This window comes from Homo sapiens, chromosome 10, assembly GCF_000001405.40.
Source record: "Homo sapiens chromosome 10, GRCh38.p14 Primary Assembly".
Classification (NCBI taxonomy): Eukaryota; Metazoa; Chordata; class Mammalia; order Primates; family Hominidae; genus Homo; species Homo sapiens.
This window is the reverse complement of record NC_000010.11, coordinates 119,513,477-119,530,819: the sequence shown is the minus strand read 5'-3', so window position 1 is coordinate 119,530,819 and position 17,343 is coordinate 119,513,477. Positions and strand designations below refer to the sequence as shown.

Sequence of the window (17,343 nt, the reverse complement as noted above, 5' to 3'; positions counted from 1 at the left end):
ACAGGGTCTTGCTGTCATCCAGGCTGGAGTACAGTGGCCCAATCATGGATCACTGCAGCCTTGAACTCCTGGGCTCAAGCTATCCTCCTGCCTCAGTCTGTCAAATAGCTGGGACTAAAGGCACATGCCACTATGCCCAGCTAAGTTTTGTATTTTTTGTACACACAGGATTTCACTATGTTGCCCAGGCTGGTCTCGAACACCTGAGCTTGAGTGATCTGCCCACCTGGGCCTCCCAAAGTGCTGGGGTTATAGGTGTGAACCACCGTGCCCAGCCTAGTTTTTAAATATTTTATAGAGATGGGGTCCCAGTATGTTGCTCAGGCTGGTCTTGAACTCCTGAGATCAAGCCATCCTCCTGTCTCAGCCTCCCAAGGTGTTTGGATTACAGGCATGAGCCACTGTGCCCAGCTGGCCTGGTTCTAATTTAGCTCATGTCATCTGGTGAATGTCTAAAATCCTGGTAGTTTCCCCAGGTGCTTGGATTTGGAGTCCCAGGGGATCAAGAAGTCAACATGTATTTTGACCCCCCATAGAACATCAGAGATCACAGGAGCTGTTACTATTAAGTAAGTCCAGTGTGCTCTGATACAGATTTTCTCCAAAACCATTTTTAGCTGTGTGGCCCCCTAGCTGTTTGCAGCAATTAATATTTATGAGACTTTATTTAAAAAAATATATCATTTAGAGGTGGTTTGCTGTGCTGATTTATTTATGTATTTATTTAATCAGATGGAGTCTCGCTCTGTCACCAGGCTGGAGTGCAGTGGTGCAATCTCAGCTCACTGCAACCTCCGCCTCCCGGGTTCAAGCAGTTCGCCTGCCTTAGCCTCCCTGGTAGCTGGGATTACAGACATCCACCACCATGCCCAGCAAATTTTTGTATTTTTAGTAGAGACAGGGTTTCACCATGTTGGCCATGATGGTCTCGATCTCTTGACCTTGCAATCTGCCTGCCTCGGCCTCCCAAAGTGCTGGGATTACAGGAGTGAGCCACCTCGCCCGGCCTTGCTGATTTCTTAATTAAAAGTTTATTTTCTCCTAGATTTGAACTTTTTTTTATAGAAACATGTCTCTAGCTTTGGAAAGAAAAAAAGTCAATGGGGAAAAAAGTGTTAGTTATAGAAGTAGTTTGCTTGATAGATGGTTATTTTAGAGATGGGAAGAAAGGAGCTCACATTTGTTGAGCATCTACTGTGTCCCAAGTGTGCTGCTAGGTGCCTGATGTGCTTCCATTTTTGAATCCTTATGATAACCCAAGAGATGGGGGATGATTTTCAAATATACACAAGAATTTTGCCCAAGATCCTATAGTTTTGAATTGGGGAAACTGGGTTTTTTGTTTTGTTTTGTTTTGTTTCGTTTGAGTCAGAGTTTCGCTCTTGTCACCCAGACTAGAGTGCAGTGGCACGATCTTGGCTCACTGCAACCTCCGCCTCCCAGGTTCAAATGATTCCCCTGCCTCAGCCTCCCAAGTAGCTGGGACTACAGGCACCCACCACCACACCCAGCTACTTTTTTTTATTTTTAGTACAGACGGGGTTTCACCATGTTGGCCAAGCTGGTCTTGAACTCCTGACCTCAAGTGATCCACCCGCCTCAGCCCCCTAAAGTGCTAGGATTACAGGCGTGAGCCACCGTGCCCGGCCAGAAACTGGGTTTTGAACCTGGCCCCATCTGAAGTGACATTCCATGGTTCTTCCTTGACTCCAGGAAGGGATCACATGCCATAGAATGAAGCATGCTTTAATTGTTCCCTCCTCCTACAGGCAAGTGGCCAAAGTGTGTTATTTGGAGATTCCCTGTTCCTCCCAGGAGACTTCTCAGTGTCGTGAGTCAGAGAGTACAGTGGAAGATGTGCAGATGCAAAGAGTTTTCATCCATTTTCTCTGTGCACCAAAATGTAAGAGGGTTGCCAAAAACCTCAGGCATCAGGATAATGATATTTATTTATTTATTTATTTATTTATTTATTATCATTATTTTTAGATGGAATCTTGCTCTGTCGCCCAGGCTGGAGTGCAGTGGTGTGATCTTGGCTCACTGCAACCTCCGCTTCCTGGGTTCAAGCGTTTCTCCTGCCTCAGCCTCTCAAGGAGCTGGGATTACAGGTGCATGCCACCACACCCAACTAATTTTTATATTTTTAGTAGAGATGAGGTTTCACTCCTGACCTCTGGTGATCTGCCTGCCTTGGCCTCCCAAAGTGCTGGGATTACAAGTGTGAGCCACTGCACCCAGCCTATAAATGATATTTAATGCAGTGTTTTAAAAGATCAAAATTAATGCAGAAACATCCGTAATGAACAAATATCCGAAGTTTAAATAAAGTCAGGAAAAATAACAGTGTGATGCTGAGCCATATTGGACTCTGAAGCAAAAGGAAAAATCAGCATAACCGATCCTGTCTTTATTTAAAATTTGGGTATTTTGTTCATCATGGATTTTTTAGCATAAATTTTGATTTTTTGAAAAAGTATTGCCTGAGGAACTGGGCGCGGTGGCTCATGCATGTAATCCCAGCACTTTGGGAGGCCGAGGTGGGTGGATCACCTGAGGTCAAGAGTTCGAGACCAGCCTGGCCAACATGGTAAAACCCCGTCTCTATTAAGAATACAAAAATTAGCTGGGTGCGGTGGGAATCACCTATAATCTCAGCTACTTGGGAGGCTGAGGCAGGAGAATCGCTTGAATCTAGGAGGCAGAGGTTGCAGTGAGCCGAGACTGTGCTACTGCACTCCAGACTGGGAAACAGAGTGACTCTGTCAAAAACAAACAAACAAACAAAAAGAGCTATTGCCTGAAATGACATTTATCTTGATGCCTGGGTATTCTGGCAACCCTCTGACATTTTGCGCCATCACGTGGGTCCCGTCCTGCAATGAGTTTTTTAATCTCTGTGCCAGATAATGAGCTAGGTGCTGGAGATACAAGATGAGGACACATAGGAGCCTTCAGACTAGTGGGAGTCAGTCATGTAAATAGTCACAACACAGCACCATAATTCTAAGTCTGTGCACAAAGCGCCATGGGGAAGCAGTTGCTGTTGAATCAAGGTTCTCTTGGAGGAGGGTTTGAGTGTGACTTGAGGGCTGCCTCTGAATTGGCCAGTGGACACAAGAGTAGGGGAAGGATTTGGTGGGAAACAGCAGGTCCCTTCATCCCTCCGAGCCTCAGTTTACCCCCATCTGTAAAATGGAGGAAATAGTAGTGCCTGCCTTACAGGGTTGTGTGACAAGAATGAGTCCATCATGTTAAGCACCTAGAACAGAGCCTGACGCATAAGTCGGTGTATGTCAGCCGTGATGGTGACGGCAGTGCTGACCATTGCATGCAGATTTCTTAAAATGACAGTGTCTGTTGGCCACATATGCAGTCTGAACTTTGCTTTGCAGACATCCACGACAGCGATGGCAGTTCCAGCAGCAGCCACCAGAGCCTCAAGAGCACAGCCAAATGGGCGGCATCCCTGGAGAATCTGCTGGAAGACCCAGAAGGCGTGAAAAGATTTAGGGTTTGTCTTTTTCATTGTTAATCGGGATGGATGCAGTGTGTGCAGAAGTTCAGATGCACACAGGGGAGAAATAGGCCAGTTCAACATTGTCTGTCAGCGTAGCACTCTCTATGCCAGCTTGAGAGTTCAGTACTGTCTATCCCAGCTTGAGGGTGAGACTTTCTCATCTGTCATGACTGTGTTGGCAACGCTGTCACAGATGGGTAGCCTGTTTCTGGTTTTTGTGTAGTGAGGTGGGAGGGGTACAGGGTGGGAGGAGAGAGAAGATACCGTGCCTATTGGTGGAGTCTGTATGAGGAATTCCCAGCTCTGGGTCTCTCTGACGTGAAGGCTTGTTCTCTCGTGCTTGGGGGATTCTCAGAATGCATTGTTGACAGAGTAAGAGAGGCTGGCAATGAGAACTTGGCGAAGGGACCTCCGAGAGCAGGGCTGATGGATGGGGAACTGTTGATCCCATCTAGAAATAGCTTTTCTGACCAGCAGAAGCCCCCGGTGCCAGATGGAGGACCATATGTGAATTTCAAGAATGAGTCCTGGTTACTTCTGTCTTTAAGTCTTGGGTCAGGAATAGGATGAGTCCTCATGCAGTTGGTGCCTGTTGGAGCTCCCAGGGAGGGAGTGGCAGGTGGTACTAGGCTTCTAGTTCCTGGTCGCCAGGCCACTGTGAGCAGTGTTTGCAACTCAGGAGGTCTCTGCACAGCAGAGTAGCTGGCTGTGCCATGGACTGCCCAAGATCGGCCATAAGAAAACACACATACCTCCAACTTAAAATAGTTTGTATCATGGTGTCTTTAGACATACTTAATGTGCTTTCTTTTCTTTTGTTTAAAAAACAGCCTGATTTTAGAGGAATGTACTTTGTTTAAACACTGTCTGGAAGGAACCAATATATCTTCCACTTTAATTTACTTTTTGGTAATTTATTGTCAGCTTAGAAATATGAGTACATTCCTGCTTCATTTGTACTCTTCTTTACAATGTCAAAACCATTAAGGTCAAATGCATATGAAATTATAGCTTTAACATTAAACATACTCATTTGTTTTTCAGAGTGGGGTTTTCGAAGAGTAACTGAACCATGCTCCTCTGTTGAATTTTGCCAAATCAGTCTTTGAAGGGAAATGCCATTTGTTTTATTTTTTTTTTAAAGTAGAATACTGTGTGACTCTTTTTCTTTGTATCCACAGGAATTTTTAAAAAAGGAATTCAGTGAAGAAAATGTTTTGTTTTGGCTAGCATGTGAAGATTTTAAGAAAATGCAAGATAAGACGCAGGTATTTCCTCCACTCTGATAATTTTTTTCCCTTATAAAGTTACAACTGCCTTTCCAATAGATTCTGAAGTTGCCTAAAGAAACCTGATTCATATTAGTTTTGGGGGAAGATTTAAGCTTCAGATTAGGTATCTTGTGTTGATCAAATATTAATCATTTTTAAAAGGGTGAGTTAATCCATTTTTAAATGGAGCTGTTCAAATGGACCAATATTTAAAATAAAAATAACAATTTATGTCACTTAGAGTTCCTCATTGCATAGAATTTTTTTCTTCATGAATAAGTTATGAGGATGTTTTCCCCACATTTTGACATGTTAGCATTTTGGACGTGGTAAAACGATACGCAGATGTGTAATGATAAAAGCACAAGGTGCATCAGAGGGATTGTCAATTATTCAGTGTATCGTACTGAGCGTCCCATAGTTGGCGAGCATCCTGCAGAGAAAGCCTCTGATTGTTCTCCTGGGTAGATGTGTCCTCTTTGCCTTCATTCCCAGTGTCAGCTGGTTGGGTATGAGGGAGGGTAGATGAGATTATGGGGAAGGAGGCCTGTGCCCTGGGTGGGTTTATGAGGCCTGGCCCTGTATCTTTCTAAGAGGCTGCTGGCTAAATGCCTGCAGGAGCCAGTAAGTCATGTGAATGAAGGAGGCTCCTGGTGTGAGGCTGGAGGGAGTGTTGGGGACTGGGGCCAGCTAAGGACGTTCTGTCTGCCTGCACAGGCTGCAGCTGGTGGTTCAGGGCCTGTGGCTGTCTGGGCTTCCCCTGCTTCAGGTTCCGTCTCCGCCAGCTTACTGATGGTGATCTCCTAGATCTTTGCTTGCCCTGCGACCCTGGTGGACTTTCTTCCCAAGGCATGTCTTATATTCCACCTAGTACCGCCTGTTTTTCTAAAGAAGCTGGACATTTGGATCCTTACGTGAAACCAGATGATTTTTAAATGTTGGAACTAATTAAAAAAAAATTTAAAACCTTGCCTACCAAACAAAACATACCCATGGGCAGATGCGGCTTGCGCGTTGCCAGTTTTTGAGGCCTCGTCTCCAAAAGCTGGAATCTATGGGCCAGAAGCCGTGAAGCGTTTGCAGACAACTGCTTGGAAAATGTATATCATGGGTTTATTCAAAGGCCTTTCCGGGCGCAGACACCCATCCTCCTGGATGGCGCAGCGCGGCCTTTTCTCCACCACCTTCCTCTCTGGAGGTGGCAAGGGAGTATTCTAAGATGGATTCTCTTTGGCTTGAACTTCCCAGGCCCACCTCGAAAGCTGTTACTGGGCGGGACCCTTGGATTTTGCTTTCTGGCTTTTTCTCTCCTCTGGATGACGTTGGCCGGAGCCTCCTGGGCAGAGAGGGGCCCCAGGGGAAAGTGAGAAGCAGGTGGTGGGGGATGCTTTGGGATGCTAGGATTCAGGCTGAGGGCCTTCAGAACAAGAGCCTCATTGTTGTCCTTTGTCTCCAGCACCGAGGACAGGGCCTGGGGACCACCATCGATAAATGCTAGACTGTGCCACCGCTGCGACCAGCCTCACCATAAAATCCTAGCTCAGAGTCAAGCAAGCCAACAGATGTCCATTCCCCTGCCTTATTCTTTTGAGTGTTAGAGGTAGGAGGGGCCTGTGGGTGGGCCGGTCCGCCCCTGCAGTGTAGACAAGGAAGTGAGGTCCCCGCACCGTGGCAGAGCTAGGACTTGAACTAGCTCCCTGAAGTCACCCGTTGTTGTCTGCACCACCATGCTGCTCTGTGCCTCCGTTCAGTTGAATTCCCCAAATCTTTGTGAAGTGCCTGCTTGGTGCCCAGCACTGAACAGGAAGGCAGCCCAGGGACAGGACAGGTGAGCGGCTCCAGGGAACGGGCACCTCAAGGGGAGCAAGCCTGTGCAAGTGCAATGAGTGTAGAGATGGGAAGCACATGTGTCGTGGGAGCAAGGCGTGGGCAACGGGGAGGGATCCAGGGGAAGTGGCTTTTTAGCTGAGACTTGGCATTGAGATTGGGAGGGGGTTCCCGGGAGCAGGGACAGTGTGTGGGCAGGCAGGGCTGGCGACAAGAGCTGAGGGAAGACCAGAAGGGCTGAATGGCATGTTTGAGGGGGAGGCCACTGTGCTGTGCTTCAGGCTGGCAGGGCAGCCACACCTGGGAATCTGGGTGCCAAGGTGAGCAGGGCTGGGAAAGCCCCTGTAGGACTTTAATGGAGTGGTTGGAAGGAGGGGGTCAAACTTTCAATGTGCCTCTTCCAGCCTTTCAGGTCAGGCAGGTCTGGTGTTGGGTTGCCCTGCCCTGTCCACATCCTACAGAGAGAGCTTCCGAATGGGCAGCCCCTTTCCATGCCTGTACCCCTGACATCCAGCATAGGACTTCTTTTCCTTTTTTGAGACAAGGTCTGACTCTGTTGCCCAGGCTGGAGTGCAGTGGTGAGGTCTTGGCTCACTGCAGCCTCCGCCTCCTGGGTTCAGGTGATCCTCCTGCCTCAGCCTCCCGAGTAGCTGGGATTACAAGTGTGTGCTACCATGCTTGGCTAATTTTTGTATTTTGAATAGAGACAGGGTTTCACCATGTTTGCCAGGCTGGTCTAGAACTTCTGACCTCAAGTGATCCGCCTGTCTTGGCCTTCCAAAGTGCTGGGATTACAGGTGTGAGCCACTGTACTCGGCCCAGCATAGGACTTCTTGAAAGTCTGTGTCCTTAAGCCTGGAATGCACCCGGCAATTGCTTTAGAGCAATGAATGCCACCCTCCTGTCACTGCCTGAGAATGCAGATTGGGTGGAGGCATTGGTGACACCTGGGGTGTTTGGCCTGGAGTGTTTGGGCCCCAGTGTGAGTCACTGTTCCCATTCGAAGATGCAGGGATATGACTTGAGTGGTTAAGCGGCAGCTCGCCCGAGGCTGGGCACAGTGGCTCACGCCTGCAATTATAACACTTTGGGAGGTCAAGGTGGGTGGATCACTTGAGCCCAGGAGTTCAAGACCAGTCTGAGCAACATGGTGAGACCTTGTCTCTACAAAAAATACCAAAAAAAAAAAAAAAATTAGCTAGACATGATGGAGTGCGCCTGTAGTTGCCCAGGGAGGTCAAGGCTGCAGTGAGGTATGATTGCGCCACTGCACTCCAGCCTGGATGACAAAGTGACACCCTGTCTCAACAAAAAAAAAAAGAATTCAGAGCCACATTTCTGACTCCAGGCATTCCCTAGTGAGTCCCGCTGCCTAGGAAGTAAAACCAGGGAGTAAGCTCTAAATTACTACAAAAAGTGTGGAGGAACATAGGCACTGGGAGAAGTCGCCTAACTGAATGTCTTTGTTTTTTTTTTTTTTTTTGAGACGGAGTTTCGCTCTTCTCGCCCAGGCTAGAGTGCAGTGGCACGATCTCTGCTCACTGCAATCTCCGCCTCCCGGGTTCAAGTGATTCTTCTGCCTCAGCCTACTGAGTAGCTGGGATTACAGGCATGTGCCACCATGCCCAGCTAATTTTTGTATTTTTAGTAGAGATGGGTTTCACCATGTTGGCGAGGTTGGTCTCAAACTCCTGACCTCAGATGATCCACCCGCCTCGGCCTTTCAAAGTGCTGGGACTACAGACGTGAGCCACCGCGCCCGGCCAGTTCTTTTTAATCCTCTGTTGTGCACGTAACCTAACTGGATTTCACAGTCAAACTTATCACATCTGTTCCAGCAGGGAGACCATGGGAGGATTTTTCTCTCTCCATCAACTAAGGCTGTTGAGGAGTCGATACAAATCCCACTCTCGCCTCTGTTGTTTTAATAGGACCTGTGTTGGTTCATTCCTTGACGTGGATTATCCAGCATTCAACAACTTCACATATCCATGTCATTTACTTGTCCGTCTTCTGTGTGGTTTGTCTTCTGGAATCTGGGAGTGGGGGGCCTCTTCTTCCCCACTGTCTCCGAGGGTCTAGACCCATGCCTGACACATGGTGAACTTCCTTCCTCTTTGTAGGATGAAGGCATTCCATTTCCTGGATCCAAGTCCTCTTCTCTCCTGAGTCATTCCCTCATTTTGGGAACAGCACACGAGAATGACTTCTTCCCTCCAGAATGACTCATGAGAGAAGAGCCCAAAACACAGCTGGCAATAGCTTCCTGAGAAGGGGGGTCTGGCAGGTAGGTATGTAAAGACCTTGTTGAGTGGAAATGTTATTTTTTTCCCTACTCTCCTACTTCACTGATAATCTGACAGAGCATAGAATTCTGGGGTGAAACACACTCAGAAGTTTGAAGACATTATTCCTTAGTCTTCTACTTTTGTTGAGAATCAGTAATTTATATGTAAACTGTTCTGTTTTTTTTTTTTTTTCTTTTTTTCCCTCTCTGGGATAGTATAGGATCTATTTTCTTTTCTATTTTTCCCCTTTCCTCCTTTCCTTCCTTCCTTCCTTCCTTCCTTCCTTTCTTTCCTTCCTTCCTTTCTTTCTTTCCTTCCTTCCTTCCTTTCTTTCTTTTTTTTTTTAATGGGGTTTCGCTCTTGTTGCCCAGGCTGGAGTGCAATGGCATGATCTCGGCTCACTGCAACCTCTGTCTTCCAGGTTCAAGCGATTCTCCTACCTCAGCCTCCCAAGTAGCTGGGATTACAGGCACCCTCCAACACACCCAGCTAATTTTGTATTTTTAGTAGAGATGGGGTTTCGCCATGTTGGTCAGGCTGATCTCAAACTCCTGACCTCAGGTGATCCACCTGCCCTGGCCTCCCTAAGTGTTGGGATTACAGGTGTGAACCACCACGCCCAGCAATTTTCTTTTCTTTTCTTTTTGAGACAGGGTCTCACTCTGTCACCCAGGCTGGAATATAGTGAGGTCACGGCTCTTTGCAGCCTGGACCTCCTGGGTTTAAGCAGTCTCACCATGTTGCTTAGGCTGGTCCCAAAAGAAATCCTCTCGCCTCAGCCTCCCAAAGTGCTGGGATTACAGGTGTGAGCCACTCCACCTGGTCAGGATCTTTTCATCACTAGTATTCTAAAACTGTTCAGTCAGGGGCTTTGGAGGCAGAGGCGGAGTTCATTCATTGTGTGAATTCTTTGTGGAGCCATATAATCTGGAAATTTGTAGTTCTGGGAAATGGTCTTATGTTGTTATTGTTATCATCATTTTAGTAACTTTTTTTCCTTCCATTGTCTCTGGTCTCTTTTCCAATGATGACCTTTCACGCCCTGCATTGAGCCCTTAATTTCATGTTTTATTCTTCCTATTTTTTAATTTTTTTTTTTTTTTTGCTTTTGGAGATTTTGACTACATCTTCAGATCCTCCTATTGAGTTTTTTCTGCTTTTTTATTTTTCCAGACAAGGGCCCTCTAGTCTCTTCCTGGGGGGCCATAAGCCTGATATGTTCCTGAACTAAACATATTTCTAATTAACTGTGTCAGGAGAATTTTGCTGGCGCGGGGGGTCTATATTTGGAATTTCCCTGAATCCCTTTATTCGGTTCGGCGTCTCATTCTTGCCGTCCTCTGTGCCTCTCTGTTCCGGAGCCTCCCTGGGTCTGTTTCTTTAGATAAGAAAACTCAACTCTTCTGTTGAAGGTGGCGGGGGAGCCACCTGACTGCTCAAGTTTGGAGCAGGACCTGGGGTGGAGGACCTGGGGGTCTGATGGCTTCTTTCTGCCGCCCTCATCAATTCCGTCTGGGCTACCTGATGCCCTCGAGCTCCTGCCGTCTCCGGACGCGCTTCTCGTTGGCACCCCCTCCCCACCTGTTCAGGGGCTTGGCTTCATTCTTCTGGGTCTCTGCAGAGTCATCTGCTGTGTCTCCGACTGCTTCTCATTTCCTGAGCCAGTTCTTGAAAATATTCTCATATCATTTATTGGATATTTTCTTTGCCTCATTCTCTTTCTGAAATTGATGTTAGTAAAGTTAGTGTCTTGATCCTTTCATTGTCCTAGGAATTGTCTCCCACATTCCATCTCTGGAAGAAGACGGGGTGGAGAGGAGCCGGAGGCCAGCAGACGGGATGGGGGTGGGGAGTGGCTACAGGGGATCGAAGTTTCCAGCTTCCCAGAGTAGGGGCTACAGGGCCTGCCAGCCAGAAGGGGACCACTCTGTTCCTTTGTGTTAATTCAAGGTGTCAGTGGGATGTCCATGCCCACATTGCTAGAAACCAACTGGCTACATGGGTCAGTAGCTTGGGGGAGGGTTGGTCTGAAATCTGGGGGGGACATGGAGTTAGAGTTGTCACCAAGGACAGAAGTCTGGGAAACCCCAGAATTCACGGAGGGGACAGGGAGACAGGAGCTGGGGGACAGACAGGGAGACAGAAGCTGGGAGACAGACACAGGGAGACAGGAGCTGGGGGACAGACAGGGAGACAGGAGCTGGGGGACAGACACAGGGAGACAGGAGCTGGGGGGCAGACAGGGAGACAGGAGCTGGGAGACAGACAGGGAGACAGGAGCTGGGAGACAGATACAGGGAGACAGGAGCTGGGGGACAGATAGGGAGACAGAAGCTGGGAGACAGACACAGGGAGACAGGAGCTGGGGGACAGACAGGGAGACAGGAGCTGGGGGACAGACAGGGAGACAGGAGCTGGGAGACAGGGAGACAGGAGCTGGGGGACAGATACAGGGAGACAGGAGCTGGGGGACAGACAGGGAGACAGAAGCTGGGAGACAGACACAGGGAGACAGGAGCTGGGGGACAGATACAGGGAGACAGGAGCTGGGGGACAGATACAGGGAGACAGGAGCTGGGGACAGACAGGGAGACAGGAGCTGGGGGACAGACACAGGGAGACAGGAGCTGGGGGACAGACACAGGGAGGTGTTGGGGATCCTGAGAGGACAGGGCTCTTACAAGGTGAGGGAAGCGGGAAGAGAAGAAAGTCGCAATGCTGAGCAGGGCTGGGGCCAGCTCACTCCAGAGGAAGGTCTGAGAGGCCTCGCTGCCTGGGCAGCGTCAGCCGGCTGGTGGAGCAGCGCTGGCTGGGCGGAAGCCTGTGTGTAGCGTGAGGAATGAATGGGAGGGACAATGGAGGCAGGGGTGCATGCTTTTCTTTTAAGAGATTTCAAAAAGGAATTGGAGACTAGGCACGGTGGCTCACGCCTGTAATCCTAGCACTTTGGGAGGCTGAGGCAGGTGGATCACTTGAGGCTGGGAGTTCGAGAGCAGCCTGGCCAACATGGTGAAACCCCGTCTCTACTAAAAATACAAAAAATTAGCCGGGCGTGGTGGCGGACTCCTGTAATCCCAGCTACTTGGGAGGTTGAAGCAGGAGAATTGCTTGAACCCGGGAGGCAGAGCTTGCAGTGAGCCGAGATCGCGCCACTGCACTCCAGCCTGGGCGACAGTGAGACTCCATCTTGAAAAAAAAAAAGAGGGATTGGGGGTGGTGAGGCCATTAACCCCCATGTAGAGAGCTGTGGGGTCAAGGGGGATCTTTTATTTTCCAGTGGGAAGGTTCGATTGGGGAGGGCGGGGCCAGTGTGGGAAGCAGCGCTCTTCTGAGCTTTGGGCCCCTGGTGACTTTGCTGTTCGTCTGCATAGAGGTGCACTTCTGGGGCTGATAGGAAAGTGAATTTGCTTCTCCTGATCGTGCACCTGCAGGGAGCCGGGTTCGAGAGCTGACGTCTGGCTGAGCATTGTCACAGTTGAGCCACTGCTGGGCCTCGAAGAAGGGCCTCAGCCTTGTGGGGTGCCTGGAAGGTGCTCACTGGGGTGCAGGTGCTTCCTGGGCAGTCCCCGAGTTGATGGGCCAAGGTGGGGCCCTCTCCAGCACCTGCCAGGACAGCCTCAGATGCTGGACACTTCAGGTCTCCCCAGGGAGAAAGGGGCTCTCTGGTCCAGGCTGTGGCCAGCCACATGTGTCAGGGCCGTGGAAGAGAAGTCGGCCATCCTTCCAGGCCACAGACACAGAATCAACTCCACCAGCTCTGTTCCTACCCGGACAGTAGCTAGAATAGGGTTAACAAAGCTCTGGAAAAATCTATCAAAATAGCTCCACAGACTGTTTCTTCTTTTCTGCTCATGTTCTCGGCCTAGACACCAGGCCTTCCCGTGACTGGCTTGTGGTCGCCGTCTCAGGGTTTCCCTTTTCAGTCATACTTCCTAGCTCCGCCGAGATAAGCTGAGCCCTGCAGCTGCTCACAGTGGGCATCTGGTCAGCCAGGGCCTTGAACCCCACATTGTTCTCACGCAGACTCAGGAGGGACAGCCGGTGGAAGAGGGCAGGGCTGAGACCCTCAAAGCTTATATACCTGCAGTCACTGGAACCTACTTCCTCTCCCCCGGCCTCTTCTGCCCCACCTCAAAGACTCAAGCCATTCATTGCACTTCTCTATTTCAGAATCACTCAAGATATCCTGGATTCATGTGTGTATGTGTGTGCGTGTGTGCACGTGTGTGCGTGTGTGTGTGCGTGTGAATGTCAAGGGGAGGAGGGGAGGTCTAAAGTGATTTCTGCCCCCAGACCTCTGCATGGAGTTTGCTCATCTGCCTGGCCGAAATTCTCCTTTCATGAAGTGGCTTTAAAACAGGAAGTGGTTTTCCAAAAGGGTTGCTTCCTGACGGAATGGGGGTGGTGGAGGGAGGCTGTGGCTTCATGGAGCTGGTGGGTCTTGGAGAGGACAGCAGGGCCAGCTCCTAAGTGCCACCCCCTTGGGTCTCGAGGATGGCCCCCAGACCTGTCCCTTAGATAGCCACGCTTGTCTGGAGAGACTCCTGTGTCACTGAGTCTGGCATCGATTCATTGCTCCTATTGACAGTGAAGACAGGGTGGACAGCATGGCTTTCGGTGTTCACCCAACCTGGGCCGTCTCCCTGCAAGTGCTGGTGAGGCTTGCTTTCTCGCAGAACAGGACATGGCCAGGCCGTGGCTTCTCAGGATCTTTTGTCCCCAGTGCCCTGAACTAAAAAAGGGCTACCCTTCCTTCCTTTCATGCCCCAGCTATCAAAACCTTCTGGTGGTTTCCTTAAGGGCAGAAGGTTTGCAGAGCTTGGGATTTCCCAAACCAAGCCCCACAGCACATGCGGAGCCCCAGTTGGGCTCTTGGAGAGAAAGGCAGTTTTCCAGGCCCCCCACACACATGTCATAGCTGTGTGGCTGCATTTTAGAGGCATTTGTTGTCTGCCTTGCTCTGTAGGGTAAGGTCATGCTTTAGACTCTAACGTTCAGAGAAACAGCCCCGCTTTTGCTGTTGGCGAGGTATGAGCACAGGAAGTCTCCTTTCTCTAAAAGAAAATCGAGCCCTCAGGGGAAGTTCTGGAGGAGAGGGCTCCTGCGCCTGCAGCCCCGCCCTGAGGCGCCTGTCCTGAAGACACAGTTCTCACTGTGAAGTCATCTCCTTACCATCAGTGAGTGCTCCTGAGCCAGCCTCGGTTAGTTTCGGGTGAAACAGGAAGCCGGTACCTACTCACGGCTCCTGCTTCCCAGCAGGACTGCACTCGGGACTTGAGGGCGGGCAGCGAGTGTTTTCTCCACTGCTGTGCTCAGTATCTCGTTAGCTAAAAGGAAATGCACCCTGCCTGGGAAGGCCGCATACCGCACAACCTGGAGGGGCCAATGTGTCTTGCGGAAGTGGAACTGAGCAGAATTCAGAGGCCTTGGAGCCAAACAGTCCTAAGGCTCCCGGAAGCTCTCAGATAAGCCATGCCACCTCTCCTGACCTCTGTGTCCTCATGGGGAAAGTGGGGCTAACAGGAAAATGCCCTTTGCTGCATGTCCAGGGGATTAAGGAAATGGGATCCCTCCAAGCAGGTGCCTGCAGCCCAGTGGGCGCTTAATAACTGGTAGGGATAGTAGGTGTGCATACTTTAACTTGATTTTTTTTTTTTTTTTTGAGAGACAGTCTCACTCTGTCACCCAGGCTGGAGTTCAGTGGTGCAATCTCAGCTCACTGCAACCTCTCTTTCCTGGGTTCAAGCAATTCTCCTGCCTCAGCCTCCTGAGTAGCTGAGATTACAGGTTTGCACCACCACGCCTGGCTAATTTTTGTCTTTTTACTAGAGATGGGGTTTCACCATGTTGGCCAGGCTGCTCTCGAACTCCTGACCTCAGGTGATCAATCTGCCTCGGCTTCCCAAAGTGCTGGGATTACAGGCATGAGCCACTGTGCCCGGCCACAGGATGGCTGTAAATGGTACTGAGTGCTCTCTGCGGGCCAGGATTCTTTCTGTCATCACTTCTGAATGGTTAATGCAGCAATTTTGTTCCAGGAGAAGTGGCTGCAGGCGCATGAAGGGGCGGGGGTAGGGGCTTGGCAGTGCAGGCTCTCCCATATAGAAATTCTCTCTGGAGTGGCCTGAGAGCCCCTGGGCTGTGGGGGGTGCCTTTCTCTTGCCACAGCAGCTCCTGTGGGCCTGGCTGGAGGGGAGAGCAGGGCTCAGGCCGGGAAGGCTGTGTGTGCAGATAGCACAAGGCCCCATCTGTCTCCTCCAGATGCAGGAAAAGGCAAAGGAGATCTACATGACCTTTCTGTCCAGCAAGGCCTCATCACAGGTCAACGTGGAGGGGCAGTCTCGGCTCAACGAGAAGATCCTGGAAGAACCGCACCCTCTGATGTTCCAGAAACTCCAGGACCAGGTAACCCGACTTCCCTGCCTGCACCTTGATTTGAAAACCTACATTAATTCCAGGCCTGGAAGAATTTACTGAAACACCCGATGTTAGACTCCCTGGAAACCATCTCATACGGCCGGGCAGACCGAGGTACACTGAGGGGCCATGGTTGGGGAGAGTGGGGACCAGAATTCTAAGCTTGAGATTTGCCCCACAGGAGTCCCCCCAGGCCTGTTTAATCTTGGTCTACACACAGTTTAGACCAGTTTATCTGCCTTCTCAGTCCAGATTAGAGGGGAGGCTGGAGCTATTTGAGGAGCCTGTACTGAGAAAGCAACCTATAATTGCTGAAGGTAAGAATAGACGGAAAACTCCAGAAAGCAAGCAGGAGAACTCAAAGTGGCAGGCTGTTTCTGTGCAAATATCCAGACACCTCCACATACTTCTGGTGGCCTAATGCTGTAAGCTATTAATAGTTCATCATGTAGCCCCTGAGGCATAATGAAAAGGTTAGCATTGGGCAGCATATTCCATGTGAATTCTGATTCACATTTGGCTATTGAAGGAGACTTGCGGAGGGCCTCCTGGAAGTGGTGAATTTGAGCCAGTCGGAAGGACGCATGGGCATTGATTTGCGCTGGGAAAGGGAGTGGAATGTATGGTGAAAAGGCAGTTTTTGTGACTGTAGCCATATGAGGATATCGACCCCACCCTGGACCTCAGAATCTTGTCAGAGCTCCCTAGGGCACTTGAAAGTGCAGCCAGGGTTGCGAACCTGTACTGACCTCTGTGCTCTAGGTATTCTCAGTAATGACAACACTAACTACCATTTCGCTTTTGGTTCTGTGTTTTTGTTCTTTTTTTTTTTTTTTTTTAATACCGAGTCTTACTCTGTCTCCCAGGATGGAGTGCAGTGGCTTGATCTTGGTTCACTGCAACCTCCGCCTCCCAGGTTCAAGCGATTCTCATGCCTCAGCCTCCTGAGTAGCTGGAATTACAGGCGCCCACCACCACACACAGTTAATTTTTGTATTTTTAGTAGAGACAGGGTTTCACCATGTTGACTAGGCTAGTCTCGAACTCCTGACCTCAAGTGATCCACCCTCCTTGGCCTCCCAAAGTACTGTGATTACAGGCGTGAGCCACTGCACCTGGCCTTTTCAGGTTTTTTTCTTTGAAACGAAGTCTCACTCTGTTGCCCAGGCTGGAGTGCAGTGGCTCGATCTCGGCTCACTGCCACCTCTGCCTCCTGAGTTAAAGCGATTCTCCTGCCTCAGCCTCCCTACCAGCTGGGATTACAGGCCTACACCACCACGCCCGGCTAATTTTTTGTATTTTTAGTAGAGACGGGGTTTTACCATGTTGACTAGGCTGGTCCCGAACTCCTGGCCTCAACTGATCCGCCCGCGTCGGCCTCCCAGAGTGCTGGGATTACAGGCGTGAGCCACCACGCCTGGCCCTAACTACCATTTAGGACTGCCCGTTTGAGCCTGATGTCACACTTGGTGTGTATTGTCTCATTTTATCTCCAATGAGTGTTATTATTCCCATTTTGCTGATGAGAAAAGCAAGGTTCAGAGAGATTAAGTGTTTTTTTTAGCATTAAGTCATGCAGGGAGCAAAAGTGCTGGAAGCCAGATTCCCTCTTGTCCATCTGCCTTCAAAGACCATGCTCCCCCCATGACCATCATGGCCTGTGTTGCTCTGCCAGGCTCCTGGGCAGCCTCTTGCTGTTTCTCAAAGCTCGGTGAGGCCCCTGGAGCAGAGGGATTGGAAAGGCTTTGTGAATGCAGGTCATCCCACTTCCCAGGACTGCGGGAGCCAAGGTAGGATGAGGAATGGGAGAGTTCTGACTCCATGCGGTAGCACTGCAGGCTCTGAGAGATCCAGCCCGCCTGCCCAACAGCTCAGAACGGAGCTGGACCTTATGAGTAGGCGTGCCCCTTAGACTCATTCAGTGGGAGGCTTAGCCAGCACAGAAAGGAAGAAACACAGGGGACAGAGGCTGATTGTTTTTTTTTTCTTTTTTAATGACAAAGAATTTTATTTATTTATT

General features: G+C 49.8%; 1 protein-coding gene across 2 annotated transcripts in view, besides 4 other annotated features; it reads left to right on the top strand.

Moving 5' to 3' along the window:
• RGS10 (regulator of G protein signaling 10) overlaps nt 1–17,343 on the top strand; it is a 42,903-nt gene that overhangs the window by 11,900 nt on the left and 13,660 nt on the right. For both annotated transcript variants that reach the window (NM_001005339.2, NM_002925.4), the window contains exons 2-4: nt 3,396–3,514; nt 4,702–4,788; nt 15,168–15,311. In NM_001005339.2, coding sequence (NP_001005339.1) covers nt 3,396–3,514; nt 4,702–4,788; nt 15,168–15,311 — 350 coding nt within the window. The remainder of the gene's footprint in view (nt 1–3,395; nt 3,515–4,701; nt 4,789–15,167; nt 15,312–17,343) is intronic.
• Nucleotides 12,229–12,388: an enhancer, noted in NCBI's record as "active region_4123". NCBI's record gives its function as "activates an Ori minimal core promoter by ATAC-STARR-seq in GM12878 lymphoblastoid cells {active_cell/tissue: GM12878}" and the evidence as "EXISTENCE:reporter gene assay evidence [ECO:0000049][PMID:35858748]".
• Nucleotides 12,739–13,018: an enhancer, noted in NCBI's record as "active region_4122". NCBI's record gives its function as "activates an Ori minimal core promoter by ATAC-STARR-seq in GM12878 lymphoblastoid cells {active_cell/tissue: GM12878}" and the evidence as "EXISTENCE:reporter gene assay evidence [ECO:0000049][PMID:35858748]".
• Nucleotides 13,808–14,390: an enhancer, noted in NCBI's record as "H3K27ac-H3K4me1 hESC enhancer chr10:121275942-121276524 (GRCh37/hg19 assembly coordinates)". NCBI's record gives its function as "activates a minimal SCP1, AML or CMV promoter by ChIP-STARR-seq in naive H9 embryonic stem cells {active_cell/tissue: H9 hESC(naive)}" and the evidence as "EXISTENCE:reporter gene assay evidence [ECO:0000049][PMID:30033119]".
• Nucleotides 15,156–15,369: a silencer, noted in NCBI's record as "fragment chr10:121274963-121275176 (GRCh37/hg19 assembly coordinates)". NCBI's record gives its function as "represses an EF-1alpha promoter that drives an FKBP-Casp9 reporter gene in an ReSE screen in HepG2 liver carcinoma cells {active_cell/tissue: HepG2}" and the evidence as "EXISTENCE:reporter gene assay evidence [ECO:0000049][PMID:32094911]".